Below are 15,844 nucleotides of genomic sequence, written 5' to 3' on the forward strand. Positions count from 1 at the left end.
AGATCCAGGGTTACCAAGGGGATGCAAACTGAGTGATGAGGGTGCTTACTCATAAGTGAATGAATGAATGAATAAATGAATGGAGATGTTGACACAGATGCAAAGACAGAAAGACAGGAGTGCATCTAGCACAGCTCCCATATGCCCTGAGTGTCCGCGATGGCTCAGGCACTGTCCTAGGGTTGAGTGAATGAGGAAAAGACACCGAGAGCACTAGGGACTATGTAGGGGAGGGGTCCAGGGAAAAGCAGAGCGAGAGGGCAAAACAATTTCAGAAGCTGCAAAAAGAAACAGTACAAAGAGCACCCTATGCCTTTCACTCAGACTGATCTATTGTTAACATTTTACCTCATTTACTTTTATCATTCTTTCTCTATATACATCCATGTATATGTACATATAGATTTTCTCCTGAACAATTTGAGGGTAAGTTACATCTATCATGGCCTTTGACCACTAAATGCTTCAGTGCGTATTTCCTGAAAATAGGGATATTCTCTTCCTTAACCTCAGTATAGTTATCAGTTTCATAAATTTGCTTTGATAGAATATTTTATCTCATCTATCATCCGTAGGTTCATATTCCAATTCTGTCCATTGACCTAATAAAGCCTTTTCCAGGATTTTCCTTTCTGTAGGTCACAGATGCATCGGGAGAGAGACAAAGCAGTGGCACAGCTATCTAGAGACGCTGGGACAGAGGAGCCAGACACCCAGTGGGGTGGGGATGAGCATGTATAGGAGGGCGGCGCAGAGGAGAGGAGTGGTCTCAGTAGTCCCCACAGGTCAGAATGTCCTGGCCTTACACTCTGCAGACTTTGACAAGGCAAGGGGGCAGCCCAGGCCTAGACCACTCAGTCCAGCAGGGTGATATGCCTCCACCTTCCCAGACCAAGGGCCCCATTTTGAAAGTGTGCTGAGACCCAGATACCCGGCTCTCAGGAACTTCTGAGCTAGCTCCTGAGAACTTGGGAAGCTTCCTCTCACTCAAACATCTTTGGGCTATCAACACAGAAAACAGAAAAAGCCTGACTTTCAAGGAGGCTTACGAAGCTGCACAGACCGGCGTCCCATTCATTTGGCCTGCCGCCCTCCCCAGCACACACTCGGGTTGGGAGTGCGGAGCAGTGGGAGGAACCCCACATCAGTTGTTCCAGATGTTCCAGCTGGCGAGTCCCAGGCTCAGCAGGGCCAGGGTGGCCAGTGGGGTTGTGGTGTCCCAGTCTCAGAGGACCTCCACTGATAGGTCTCTGGGATTTATGGCGGGTAGAGTCTCCACCCAGAACTTCCGGGGACAGCTGCAATTTTCCCCTTCTGAGGCCTCTTCTGGAAACAGTCCCCTCTGCTCTGAAGGGCTCTGGCCCCTTCCCCACACTCTTGTTCCGGCTAGAGATGGAGCCTTCCAGGCTGGGCTCCTGCCCATCTTCTCTCCTGCCATATCCCTACGCCTAGAACGGTGCCTGGTGCCTAGTAGATATCAATACATATTTGTGGAATGAATGAATGAATGAATGAACAGTTCTTATTTCTATTCAGGGGACCAAATTAGCATATGTATTTATGGTTTTAGGGCTCCACCAAACAAATCACTGGGTCGCTAATCCTGGGGTCTTAGGCTTGGTGCAGCAGTGGGTGGGAGCACATTTAATCCACCCATTTGCCAAACTCAACCACCTCCAGGCACCACCTATTGGAAAAGGAGCTGGAGAGAGAATGCATGATGAGAGAGAGAGGGGTCCCAGGAAGAGAGTGACTACCTGGTCTTTACCCCTGATGAAGAGCCAGTGGGTGGAGCTTGCAATACGACACTGCATGGTTTGATATCAAAAAGGACGTCTCAATATATTTTGGTGTATCTTGGATGGTTTCACTGTCAATGTGTCCAGAGGCAGGGAGATGCCAGAGATGACTTCTTGACCCTCCCAGATGGCCCTTTGGGGCCTCCTGGGCCCATCCAAAGCTCTGCCCACCAGGCGTGGGTGGCTGGACTGTGGATGGTTGGCTCAAGCCTGCATCATTTGGACGGCGCCAACCGGGCCAAAGGTGCCCCACACATTGCCTGTCCCGGGATGGTGTCCAGGCCTTGGTCCCCAGGGTCCTCCCACCCCTGCTGGACAGCAGCCTCTCCCAGTGACTCAGCCCTGACGTCGTGGGGCGAGCGGAAAGGCCAAGGGCGTGGGAGGTGGTGGCTCCCTCCCTCCTGTCCTCACCTCTCTGGGTTCAGTCCCCATAACCTCCTTCCTTCCCGCCATCCCCGTTCTTTCATGAGCCTCTGTGCAGGAGCTATTGCCCCGGCCCATGGAGACATGCCCTATGTGTGCCCAGGTGTGTGCCAGGCCACCGTGGGTCATGGGATACAAGAACCACAGTGTGAGAGAGCTCCTGGCTCTGGATCCCACTCCCTCGCCCCTCACCCCAGCAGTCCCACCCTAATAGAGGGTTGGGGGGCACCAGCTCCTTTCTTAGGTGGCCTGGGGCACTCTCTGTTCACACTTGGGGATCTCTGTGCCCCAGGCCCTGGATCCACTTGTCTGCCCCCTGCCCTCCAGGGCCTCCCTTAGGTGTGTGATCTCAGCTTTTTTTATCTCCCCTAGATGGGAGAGGATCCCTGGGACCCACACCTCCCCACTGCAGGCCAGTGCACTGGGGCCTCCAACTCTGTCCCACCTGCACCCCGCCCAGCTGCCCCCTCCTCCAACCCACTTCAAAGCCCAGAGCCAGCAGGAGCTAATTACATGCCCCCCACCCCCCTCGCTCGTTAAGTGTCATTAGCTCCAGTTTACAGATGAGGAAACTGAGACTGGGGAGGTAGAGGACGTCACCCCCTCCGTCCCCACCCTGGCTCCCGAGCCAGCGCTGGCACAAGGTCCCAGGGCCCTGCCAAGACCCCTCTTCCTTGGAGGACCTGGGGGCCCAGTGCCCATCCCCAGCTCCCACTTCCTGCCTTCCCCGAGCTCTTCTCTCCTTTCCTTGGAAGGAAGCTGCGGGCTTGGGCAAACAGCTGCTGAGTCCCTAGAAAGGGGTGGGCAGGGTGCCTCTCTGAAATCACACATAGGCAAAATGCAAATGAGCCCCCCAATTATTATAGAGTCAGGGCGGTGGCACTTCAGGTAATAGGACTTGGGGAGTGGAGGGACCCCACACCTATCCGCTTACCAGCTTGCCAGAGGCCCCCGCTGTGGGCAGGGGCTGGTGATGCTGTCACCCTGAGTGAGGCTGGGATACAGTGGGGTGGGGTGAGAGGAGGATGCTGACACTGGCATGGCTTGGGAGGGCGCCGACCTGATGTTGTCAGCTAGGACGGCCCTGCCCTCCGGGACCAGAGAGAAACCCCAAACCTCAGCTTCTCCTTGGGAAAGCAGAGGCTTCCCTTTGTGGTTTGGGAGCAAAGCCAGCTCCTTGACCCTGTTTGACTCGGCCATCTGGGGCTTAGTGGGCTGTGAGATCTTTGAGACACCCCCCAGCAAAGGGGAAGAATGCCCCCCTGCTTACAGACTGGGAAACTGAGGTCCAAAGAGGGAAATGGTTTGTCCAATTGGGATCACACAGCGCAGAGGGAAAAGCAGAGAATCTGGAGAACACAGTCAGTGAAATTAGGACTCCCGAGGGAAAGGGGCAGGCTAGGGAGTGGGGAGTGGATGAGAAGTGCAGGAACTGTACGGAGAGAATGCACTGGGCACTAAGCTGTCCCCTTCCCAAGTGCTGGGAGCTTAGGGTAACTTTCTCTTATGGCTCCTATTGACAGATAGGGTACCGGGCCTATGACAGGAGAGAAATACTTACCTGGTTACTAGTTGAGTTTTTCAGTATTAATGACTTTATGAACATACAGGAGTTAAAATTGCAGCATCAGAGATGGAAGGCAGACTTCAGGAAGAACTTCGCACTTTTGTGGATGAGGGCCTTTGAGATAGGTGGCGAATCCATGAGCAGGCATTCTGCCCTGCCCAGTCCTCTGGTTCCCTCTCTGGGTTACTGGGGCATCTCTCACATCCATCCCACAGCCTTCCCCCTCCACACTGTCCTCAGCATGGAATGAAATGCCTGTGGACTTTGTCATCATGAGAAGATCCCACATTCTGGAAAACCGGAGGTGACATCACCACAGCTTTGCACCAGGTGTGCGGCCACCACTAGCTGAGCTTTTGCCCCTGCAGCTGGGTGGGTCTCAAGTGAGATCTAAGGGGGAGAGCTGCCGGGGGAGGGGGAGAAGTCAGGAAGCAGAGGGAACCAGGACCTCAGAGCCTGACTCCTGTCCCTCCCTTCTGTCCCCACCTTGTCTCCTCAACAGGTCTTTCAGAGCCTTCTAGGCCTGGTGACTCCTTGTCAGTGGCCAGGGGCACATGATGTGACTCAGAAAGGAGAGGGCAGAAGGCAGGGGATCTGGCTGTAGCAGGACTTAGTGGGGGTGTCATTGCCCTTCTCTGAGCCTCCTGTTCTCCAGTGAGGCGCCTGGACTGGAACAGTGGCTTTTACAGGGGTAAAGGAGTCTGTGTTGTTGAACCTGCACAGAAGGACAGAGCCTCCCATCTGTCCATATCCCCTATAGGAAACCCTCCCTGAGTCCCCGCTGCCAGAATGAATCTCTCTTTCCTCGGCCCTCATCAGCAAGCACCGAAGCTCACACATTCCTGGGACATGGCTCCCATGCCTTGCATTGCTGTCCGGGGACTCCTGCCCACTCCCCACCTAGAACACCAGACCTCTAAGGCAGGGATGTGTCCACTCCGGAACTGACCCAAGGCTTGGGCGTCAATGTGTCAGGGCTCAGTCTCATGCAGCCTGGGTGGCTACAATGCTCTTGGCTGTCCCCACTCTGGGGGAGTTTGGAGAATACCCCCAGCCCCCAAGAAGGCCCATTTCTTCTGTTTGGTTTGGTGACAGAGCCCCGCCCGGGTCCTGGTGCATTACCTGTGTGCTACAGGCCTTGGGTGTGGCATTTTCCCTCCCTGGGCCTCAGTTTCACCCGATCATGGCCAAAGTCCTTTGCAGTTTGAACATTACATCAAATCTATACTCAGAAACTAATTTGGTCCACAAACTGCCCTGTCCCTCCTTGGTTCATTTGCATTCATATTTGCATAAATCTGCATGGAGCATCCAACAATCTCTACGGTTCTGCTGAGTGGCCTTCTTTTGATTTCTGGTCTCATTCCTCCCCTAAGTGACCTGAGTGGGGAGCTAGTGCAATGGCCATAGACCTGCTTTTGTCTCTATGACCCCATCAATGGCACATCATGTGTGCTTCATAAATCCTTGTTGAAATGAAATGGCCAAGAGTTGGGCAGGTACCTGGTGGGATGGGGGTGCATGGGGAGTGGCTAACTCATGGAGCGGTGAGGGGGTGGGGTTACAGGGGGTGGAGTAGGGAAAGCAGCACAGGGGCGGTGGGGAGATGAGTCCGTTTCTACACCCATAGATCCGTCAAGATGATGAAATGGGGTCCCAAAGAGGTGTGATGGCTGCGAAGGCCATAGAGCTGGTTAGCAGCAGAGTTCAGACTAGAACCATCACCTTTGGACTCCTTGAGATGCCAGGCTGATGCTGGAGCGCCAGAGTGGGGAACTCATGGAACTCATAGTGCTTGCGGGGAGCTCCTCAGAGTGATGGGGGAGGCAAGACACCAAAGCACTCAGGATATAGACACAGGGAAAGGCAACAGCATGCAGACTCAGTGAATATCGAGGGGTGGGGGTGCGGATGGGGGTCTCCCCTTCCCACTTTTCCTCCTCCTCAGGCTAAAAGGTGAGCTGCGCTCATTTCTTCAGTTACAAGGACCAGAGACCTGCAGGAAGGGGGTCCCTCTGGATGGTGAAGGGCATCCTGGGTTGTGAACTGGCCCCTGAGAAACTGGCAGAACCCAGTGGAGAGGTAGAAGGGCAGTGAGCCATGGTCCTGATAGTCCTTTGAGATCCTAGAGGGTTTCTGAGATGGGGGTGAAACCCTCTCCCCTAGAGGCCAGAGGGAGTCAAGGAAAGCCTCCCCATCCATTGTGGGCTGGTCTGAGACCAGTCTGGTGTGGGGGCAGGTATTATGGCCCTAGGACCTCTCAAATGTTTCCAGCCCCGTGACCCAGGAGGGAGTCCAGGAAGCTCTGCGAAGGGCACGCGGGGCCAGGCCACCTGCAACAGCTGGTATTCGAGGCCGTCTGCCTGCTCCTCCCTCCACTCTCACCCACCATCATCATCCTGGGCTGGCACCTGGGGGAGGGTTGGCAGGTGGGATTACATCGGGTCCCCATGCCCCTCTGAGGGGATTACAGCATCCATCCCCATTTTAGGCCCCAGGGGCAGCGCTAAGGGACAGAGGCTGAGGCTGGGGGCAGACCTGGAAATCCTTTGGGGTGCTGGGACTCTTTCTTCAGAGGGTGAAGGCCAGGGCCCAGCCAGCTCCTCCATTCTCCTCCCCTGCCTCCATTTCATCAGCCCTGCTTTGGAAGCTCTTCTGCAGGCCACTCAGAGGGGATGGGTGGGGAGCCCTGGGCCCAGGCCCCACTCCTCCTGCCCAGGACTCTGGTGCTTTGGCTGGACACCATGCCTCTCTGGATAGGGCGCCTCCTGCGGGGAGACCAATCAATCCTCTGGCTCATGGAACTCACAGTGCTTGCAGGGAGCCCACAGAGTGATGGGGGAGGCAGGAACCAGTCTGATGGGGGAGCCAAGACACCCGTGTGCTCAGGATATAGACACAGGACAAGGCAGCAGTGTGCAGACTGAGTGAATATTGAGGCGTGGGACACAGGGAAAAGGGTAGACAGGGTTTGGGTGGGAGATTCTTGGCAGACTGCCTGGAAAAGGGGCAAGGGGCACCTGGAACCTAAGGAGAGGAGAAGAAAGGGATGTCGCCTCAGACGATCATCTCAGACAATCGCCCCAGATGGGCTGCCCTCCCCTCCCCGGTGCCCACCCTGGCCCTCCTGGCTCTGCCAAGCCGAAGCAGTCCCGAGCCAGTGCCTGGAGAGCAGGGTGCGCAGGTGTTTCCTCAGACAGCTGCCTTAACTCAGCGAGGGCTCAGAGGAGCTGCCTTCCAGGGCCCAGAGAAGCAAGCTGAGAGCCCAGGAGAGAAGTGGAGGAGGGCAGACGGGAAGCCAGAAAGCCAGTGCCTTAGCCCCAGGCCCGGGGGCTGAGGAGGTGGAAGAAGAACGTTCAGTGCTCACGGGGCAGAGGGGAAGATGGCAGGGATGCTGGGGCCCAGATGCAGGCTGGGCCGGAGCGCTGACTACACTCCCCTCCCCTGTGACACCCTGGCCCACCCTGGCTCTGCCCAAAGCCGGCCTGGCCCCCAGCGCTCCCCCAGCCAAGCCAGCCCCAAAGCTGCTGCCCAGAGAGCGGGGTGCCCCAGCTGCTGCGAGGGTTCGTCGGTGGAGCCTCGGTGGGGGTTGATAGGAGACTGCCAGGCGCCGCTTAATAGGATTTTAATTATACAGCTCCAGCAAGAATTTTTTCCCCCCTGGGCTTGAGCCCTCACAGATACCTCCATCTCCACCTCAGCATCTTCCCAGCCCTGGCAGCTAGCTCTCCCAGGCCCCCGCTGCCTGCCCTCCACCCACCGTGGGGGACGCTGGCCCATCTCCTGGGGGCTCAGGAAGGGCCTGGCATCTGCCCCCAGCAATGATGCAGAGGGCGCCTGCTCCTGGGGGGGGGTCCTGGCTCCAGGAGCTCCTCTGAGCTCTGCATCCAGGACTGGGGACGGTCAGAGCTGACTCTGGTGCAGGGCAGAGATGGTGCCCCTGCCATTCAACTCACTATGGACTCGATGCTCATTTTTCCAGAGTGATTCTGCCCCATGCCAAACCCTTTCGCGATGATTGTCTCATGTGACGCTTACAATTCTGGGAGCCAGGCAGGACAGATAGAGTGATCATCTCCATTTTATGGATGAGGAAATTGATCCCCAAGAGTTGAAGTGACTTGCCCAAGGACATGGTGAGTAAGGAGTCTGGACTTCCCGCAGGTTTGCTTGACTCTGAACTCCAGGTTCTGTCCATGGCCCTGAGCTGCCATTCCCCTGAGCTCCACACCCCACACCCCTCACCCCTCCAGAAGGAGCTAAGGGCAGATTCTCCTCCCTTATCCTCCAAGAAGTCAGGGGCTTCTTGCTCTGTTTGAAATAAAAAGCAACTGCGTCTGCGCACCAGTGGCAGAGACGGACTTTGTACAAGCATCGGGGTGAAATGAACATTCTTCAGGCATGAGATGTTACCTCTCCCCATGTCTGGGTTAGGGTCCCCGCTTCATGCTCTCACAACTCCTGAATTTTGGCACCATAACCCCATCACACTGTACTGGATTGGCTAGCAGGCTGGCTTACCAATAGCCTAGAATTTCCTTGACACGTCAAGAAAAATCTCCCTGGTGCCCACTGGTCAAGCATTTAGACTGTCCCCACCCACCTGCGTTCTGCAACAAGACCCCCTCTCCTGCAGGTGGCCTGCTCCCCCTGTACCTACCCATCAGGTGATGCCAGCCACCAATGTGTCAGGATAACCACACGGGCTTTCTTGGAGGCAGCAGTTTCAGTGAGGCATTTTTTTGGTGTGTTTATTATACAATTTTAACACCTATATTTTAATTTTAGAATAGTTTTAGATGTACAGAAAAGTTGCAAATAGAGAATTCCCATACACCCCTTACCCAAGTTTCTTCTATTGTTAACATCCTATATCACCAGAGTACATTTGTCATAGCTAAAAAACAAACATTGGGCCAGGCACAGTGGCTCACACCTGTAATCCCAGCACTTTGGGAGGTCCAAGGCGGGAGAATTGCTTGAGCCCAGGAGTTTGAGACTAGCCTGGGCAACAGAGTGAGACTCTGTCTCTATAAAAAATTTAAAAATTAGCTGGATGTGGTGGCACATGCCTGTAATTTCAGCTACTCTGGAGGCTGAGACAGGAGAATTACTTGAGCCCAGGAGTTTGAGGCTGCAGTGAGCTATGATCGTGCCACTGCTCTCCAGCCTGGGCAACAGAGTGAGACCCTTACTTAAAAAAAAAAAAAGTACACTACTCTTAACTAAACTCAACACATGATTTAGATTTCACCATTATTTTTTTAATGCCACGAGTAATACATTCTTGTATGAGATTCAACAGTGTAGTAAAAGAAACAGTAAAATATGACTCTCCCTTCATTCCTTCCCCAAGGCCTCTCCTGCCCCAGGAGGAATCCTTCTGCCTCCTCTCTGCAGGTACACCTTATTCCTGCCACTTTCCCCCAGGCAGTGGGTCTCGAGCTGGTGGTCAGCACATCCGCCTACCCTCATGCTCTTGTGTCTTGATGACAGCCCCCTCCCCTGCTGCAGTGAATCCTCTCTTCCCTAATCCCTGCCCATCCTCTGTTCTCTCCTCCAGCCACACTTCCTCTGGGTAGCTTTGAGGAACTCCCAGCCTCCAGGGGCCCCCCTCTTCAGACTGTCTTTGTTTTGGTCTCCTTGACCCACAAACAGTTGGGGGTGATGACAATGCTCCCTGCCCCTCCTGTCCCTGTGAAGCTCCTAGGATGCAGTAGGTACATGGTAATGGGCTGTGAATGAAGTGAACCAGGGCTTCAGGAAAGGCGCCTGGCTGTAATTGGCAGTGGGTAGTGCCTTCCAACACTGTGGTGGAGCAGGTAGGAAGGTGCGGAAGACTTGGTGTCTGCCCTCAGGGCCCCCCATCCTGGGGAGGACACACCCACACATGCTCGCCTGGCTCCTGGATGGCTGTGGCCAGCAGAGCTCAGGCCAGGCCCAACTATCTGTGCCCAAGGCTGGGGGTGGGACTGGGGTAGAGGGTTTCTGGACAAAGCCTCTGCCCTGCTCTGCTTGATGTGGCTTTGCTCTTTTCTGCCATGGCTAGGACTCACCCCCCAGCCAGAGAAGGAGGCCGTATTCCAGCCTTTTCTGCCTCCTCCATACCTCCTTCACAGCAAGTCCTAGAGGGCAACTTTGAGCTGTTGCCTCAGCATCCTTCATCAAAGCATCATCTGTTTCTCTCCTAGCCCCCTGGTGGGCGGCTGCCACCACCAGCAGCACCGAGAACTTATCCCGGCCCCCTCCCCACCAGTGCCAGCTGGTCTCAGCCTGCACTTTGCCCAAGGTCCTGGGAATGGGGCTGGGGTTGGAAGGGGGCCGATGCCTGGGGTGGCAGCCTGTTCACCTGAGGAGCTGGTCCTCCTCACTCGCCATGGGTCAGCTCATCCATCCCCTTGCCTCAGTGCTTGCCTGCCTCTGCCAATCCCAGGAAAAGGAGAAGATTCGGGTGAAGACAATGGCTGCTACCACCAGCAACGTCTGTGCCTCTGATTGCCAAGTCTCCTCCTGCCGCCTCACTGCCTCCCCATGGCTGCCTGGGCCTTCAAGTCAGAAAGGACAGGGCAGGAAAAGGACTCTGGAGACAGGAGGAGTCCCAAGGTGTTGGGGGGTGGTGATGGAGGGAGGCTGCTCAGGGAGGAAAGGATAGTGGGGGTGAGCCTCAAGGTGTGTGCTCACGTGACCCTGGGAAGGTGTGTCTGTGTGTGTGTGTTTACAGGCTGAGGAGGGGCCATGCCCCCCAGACCACCCTGGGCAGGTCTGCAGCAGGGGGCCAAAGCCCTGGGGGTCCCAGGTCTTTGGCTCCTATGGGGCCCAAGCCCAGGAGAGGCTGTGGAGCTGGACAGCCGGGGGTGGGGGATTGCAGCATCAGGCTGGCTGCCGTGGCATGAGATGAAAGGCCAGGAGTGGGGCTGTTGGCAGACTGGCAGACGGACAGGCGGGGCCGGGTGGAGGCGTGGGGTGGGGGAGGGGAGATAACCATCTGCTAGAGCCGCCAGGTGTAGACATGGTGGAGTGTGGGGGATGCGGGTGGAGGGTTAGCCCTTGCCATCAGGGGAAAGAGCCAGAAGCTGGAAGGGCTCCCTGTGAGGTCATCTTGTCCAGCCTGATGCCTTTGGGCCCTCGGCCCCAAACCAAGCAGGCCCTGCTTCTGGCACTTGGTGCTCCTCCCTGGCCCCAGCCCCCAGCCTGTCCTCCGCACTGCACCCATCCCAGAGCAGTGCCCCAGAAGTCCAACCCAGAGTCCTCTCCGCACTTAAAGGCACAGCGCTCCATAGAGAGGGTCCGCCAAGCCCGGCCTCCTCTTAGTCACTAACTGCTGGGGTAGCCCAGGACTGGGTTGGTCCCTATCACCTTTCGTCTCCTTGATTCCAAACCTCTCTTACTGTAGTTGTATGATTATTTGTTGGTGCCTTGCCCCTAGCCCCAAACTTGGAGAGAAGGTTCTAGAAAGCATGGAAAAAGCATGAGCAATGAAGCAAGCCGCTCCTAAACAGTGTGGGGTCCAGGACAAGAGTCTTGCTTCCTAAATCTCTCTCTTAACCTCTTGTTGTCTTTCTGTACTCACACCTAATTCTCTAGTCCAGGCTTCTAATTTTCTCATCCAGAAATTACTTTGACAATTCCCCTAATATGCCCCCCAGCCTCCTCACTGCCCTCTGATCTGCTGCCTCAGTGGTCTGTCTAACACGAGAGTCTCACCATGTCACTTCTCTGCTCAACACCCTTCAAAGCAGTACTGCTTCCAGAGCCAGCAAGAGGAATCCCTGCCCCAGGCCCCTCATGACATGGATATGACACTGACGCTTCCTTTGCTGGAGAACCCATGACAGCCTAGGTCATGCAGGCTCTGGTACCAAGGGCTGCGGGGTGCAACCCACAGCTTCAAACTTCTGCTCTACACTTCTGTCACTACAGCCATCGGGCCTCAGTCACAGGCTTCTTGCTCTAAGTGTTTGAAACAAAGAGCAACTGCGTCTGCGCGCCATTGGTGGAGATGGACTTTGTACAAGCGCCGGAGTGAAATGAAAAATGAATGGGGAGCATCATAACTTCGGGTTTCCAGTCTGCCACATAAGAAGCTTGGAAGTCACCGCTCCATCCTAATTACAAAAAACAGAAGTAACTGAAAGAAAAAATACATATACTTGTTAGATTATTTCTTTCAAGTAGCGTACATGCAATAGATTATTAATATTTTAAAAACATTCAAGAATAATTAAATGGATTCTTACATAAACTCTCCTTGTAGTGTTGAGCATCCTTGTCCTTATTTCTTCTTTGTGAGTACAAGAGGTACTCATAAATCAGTGTAGCATTCAAATGAATGCATGTTGCAGATGAGAAACACTTTGCTCTACTAAATAATTCATATAATTTTTTTTGTTTTGATACGGAGTCTTGCTCTGTTGCCCAGGCTGGAGTGCAATGGTGCGATCTCGGCTCACTGCAACCTCTGCCTCATGGGTTCAAGTGATTCTCCTGCCTCAGCCTCCCGAGTAGCTGGGATTACAGGTGCACGCCACCATGCCAGGCTAATTTTTTGTATCTTTAGTAGAGACGGGGTTTCTCCATGTTGGCCAGACTGGTCTCGAACTCCTGACTTTATGATCCACCTGCCTTGGCCTCCCAAAGTGCTGGGATTACAGAGGTGAGCCATCGTGCCCGACCTTCATATAATTCTTAATTTGTACAAAGGTAGGTCTAGATGGAACATGCATGAAACTTGATAGTAACTGTACATTGGCAATTTGATGGATGGTGAACGTTGAAATTACAAAGCATTATATTTTATCAAAATATATAATAATATTTAGATTTACAAAATTTTAAATAAAAAATTTAGTTTCAGGCTGGACGAGGTGGCTCATGCCTATAATTCCAGCACTTTGCGAGGCAGAGGTGGGAGGATTGCTTGAAGCCAGGAGTTGGAAACCAGCCTGGGCAACAAAGCAAGGCCCCTGTCTCTACAAAAAAAAAAAAAAAAAAGCCAGGAGTGGTGGTGTGCAACTGTAGCCCCAGCTTCTCAGGAGACCAAGTCAGAAGGATCGCTTGAGCCCAGGAGCTTGAGGATGCAGTGAGCTATCATTGTGCCACTGCCCTCCAGCCTGGGCAACAGAGTGAGACAAAAAAAAAGTAAAGAAAGAAAGAAATTAGATTCAATTAAATAATCTTAATTTTCTACTTAACATTCATTTGTTATAATTTACATTCTGCCTTTTATTTTAATAAATTAGAATATTTTAGTCACATATATATTTAACTGTATAAAAACCGTGGCTTTATGCAATTTAAAAAATTTTGTTGTCCAGGTGCGGTGGCTCATGCCTGTAACCCCAGCACTTTGAGAGGCCGAGGTGAGCAGATCACAAGGTCAGGAGTTCGAAACCAGCCTGACTAACATGGTGAAACCCCGTCTCTACTAAAAATATAAAAATTATCTGGGTGTGGTGGTGCATGCCTGTAATCCCAGCTACTCAGGAGGCTGAGGCAGGAGAATCGCTTGAACCCAGGAGTCGGAGGTTGCAGTAAGCCAAGATCATGGCACTGTACTCCAGCCTGGGTAACAGAGCAAGACTCTGTCTCAAAAAAAAACAACAAAAAAAATTTGTTGTTGGTCAAGTGCAGTGGCTCACGCCTATAATCCCAGCACTTTAGGAGGCCGAAGCGAGCGGATCACTTGAGGTCAGGAGTTCGAGACTAGCCTGGCCAACATGGAGAAACCCCGTCTCTACTAAAAATACAAGAATTAGCCAACTGTGGTGGCGCGTGCCTGTAACCCCAGCTACTTGGGAGGCTGAGGAGAATCACTTGAACCCGGGAGGCGGAGGTTGCGGTGAGCCAAGATCACGCCACTGCACTCCAGCCTGGGTGACAGAGCAAGACTCCGTCTCAAAAAAAAAAAAAAAAATTGTTGTTATGAAGGCTTATTGTCAAAGAAAGTAGGAAGAATGTGTTTAGCGATGTTTAGCTGGATAGTGACCCTCCACTTGTACTCTTGTCCTGGACCCCACACTGTTTAGGGGCGGCTTGCTTCATTGCCCATTTGCTGCTGGACCCCAGAGCATGACCCACAAAGGCTTCCTCTGCCTGAGACTCCAGGGTTCCCTGCTGTCTTCACACAGCCCTGGACCGTGGGGAGGTGGGGAATCCCAGAACACACATTTTGCTGTGCTTTTCCCAGGTCTCAGACGACCTCTCCTTCCCTAGTCACTGTATGAGGGGCAAGTGCCAGCTCATACTTCCAGTCTCAGCCCAGATCTGCCCTCCCCGGCTCCAGCAGGCAGATGGCTGCCCCTCCAGATGCCCCATGCTATTTGCAAGTTACCTATTAAAAATGGTTCTTCCACGTGGATTCAGTGCAATGCCCAAATCCAAGTGTGACAAGAAAGTCTCCTTAACCAAAACTGCCAAGAAAGGCTTGGAATTGAAACAAAACCTGATAGAAGAGCTTTGGAAATGTGTGGACACCTACAGTACCTTTTCATCTTCTCTGTGGCCAACATGAGGAACAACAGGCTGAGGGACATCCAGAACACCTGAAAGCACAGCTGGATGTTCTTTGGCAAAAACAAGGTGATGATGGTGGCCCTGGGTCAGAGCCCACCTGATGAGAACAAAGATAACCTGCACCACGTCAGCAAAAGGTTGAGGGGTGAAGTGGGTCTCCTGTTCACCAACCGCACAAAGGAGGAAGTGAATGAATGGTTTACGAAATACACAGAAATGGACTACGCCCGAGCTGGTAACAAAGCAGCTTTCACTGCAAGCCTGGACTCAGGGCCCCTGGAGCAGTTCCCCCACTCCATGGAGCCACAGCTCACGCAGCTGGCCCTGCCCACTGCCCTCAAGAGAGGTGTGGTGACCCTGCTGTCCAACTATGAGGTGTGCTGACCCCAGAGCAGGCTTGTGTCCCGAAGCTTTTTGGGTATGAGATGGCTGAATTCAAGGTGACCATCAAATACATGTGGGATTCACAGTAGGGAAGTTTCCAGCAGATGGGAGATGACTTGCCAGAGGGCGCATCCGAGTCTGCAGAAGAGTCAGACTCAGAAGACAATGACTGAAAGGGTCTTAGGACTGAAGGTCTCCTGGAACCTTCTGAGTCTCACTGGACCATGCAGGACTGCTGCCACCCCTCTAGAGAGAGCAGCTTTTTATTTGGCTGTAGACAGGGAACGTGCTGGGCACCGACTTCCTATAAAGAATAAAACTTTGCAGGATGTCTCCCTGGAGACAAAAAAAAAAAAAGTTCTTCTGCCACACGGGAGGTTTGTGGACTGCCTCTTTATGGATCAGGACCTTTTCTTGAGCAGGAACTTGGGAGCTCTGGGAGTAGGGAGGGGGCAGGGCCTCTGTGTGGGGCTCAGAGCTCAGTGCTGGGATGATGGGGTTTTGATATCTCTGAAGTCTGCAGGGCTTGAGCACTGAAGAAACTCAAAATTCTAGGGAAAACTAGCTGAGGACTTGGGCTTTGCCCAGGGGTGAAGCCACCTGAGAAGGCCCCAGAGAACCAAGGTCTGAGAGGAGGTTGGTGGGAACCCCCATTGGCACCCCTGCCAGCCGCTATCTCTGAGGGCCAAGGTGGTGAGTGGCAGCCAGGGGCTCAGTGGGGAGGGCAGAAAGTGGAGAGGGGCCTCTTGCAGAAAATCCAGGCTCAGCTGGTGGCTCTGAGGTGGGGGAAGAAGGGAAATGGCAGGATGTTGGAGGCAGCCAAGGTTGGGGGTGGGATGGAAGTGGCTGAGCTGAAAAGAGGCAGGGACCAGCCTAGGAGGCCAACCCATACCTCACTCACAGCTTCTGGCTCCCTGGAGAAGGATGTTCTTTTTGGCAGAAGCCAGGGCAGGTGGAGTGTGAAGGGAACCCTGCCCTTACTTTCCTCAGAGGACACTTCAAATGAGTGGGAGTCCCAATATTTACCAAGTACCTGCTGTGTGCCAGGCACTGTGCTGAGGGACTTCACCTCACTTTCCCTAGAGAGCGATGGCCTACCTGTCGGGTGGCATCAGAGACCACCTAATCCAATTCTCCCATTTGCCGGAGGAGGAAGCTG

General features: G+C 53.7%; 1 pseudogene, besides 2 other annotated features; it reads left to right on the forward strand.

The window, feature by feature from the left end:
- Nucleotides 3,344-4,543: an enhancer, noted in NCBI's record as "CDK7 strongly-dependent group 2 enhancer chr17:48005674-48006873 (GRCh37/hg19 assembly coordinates)". NCBI's record gives its function as "activates an origin of replication core promoter dependent on BRD2, BRD4, P300/CBP, MED14 and CDK7 cofactors, with strong dependence on CDK7, by STARR-seq in HCT116 cells {active_cell/tissue: HCT116}" and the evidence as "EXISTENCE:reporter gene assay evidence [ECO:0000049][PMID:35650434]".
- Nucleotides 11,685-11,885: a silencer, noted in NCBI's record as "peak2887 fragment used in MPRA reporter construct". NCBI's record gives its function as "represses an SCP1 promoter by STARR-seq MPRAs in K562 erythroleukemia cells {active_cell/tissue: K562}" and the evidence as "EXISTENCE:reporter gene assay evidence [ECO:0000049][PMID:32103011]".
- Nucleotides 14,134-15,009, forward strand: LOC124865 (MRT4 homolog, ribosome maturation factor pseudogene; annotated as a pseudogene).

The sequence above is a fragment of the Homo sapiens genome, chromosome 17 (assembly GCF_000001405.40).
Source record: "Homo sapiens chromosome 17, GRCh38.p14 Primary Assembly".
Classification (NCBI taxonomy): Eukaryota; Metazoa; Chordata; class Mammalia; order Primates; family Hominidae; genus Homo; species Homo sapiens.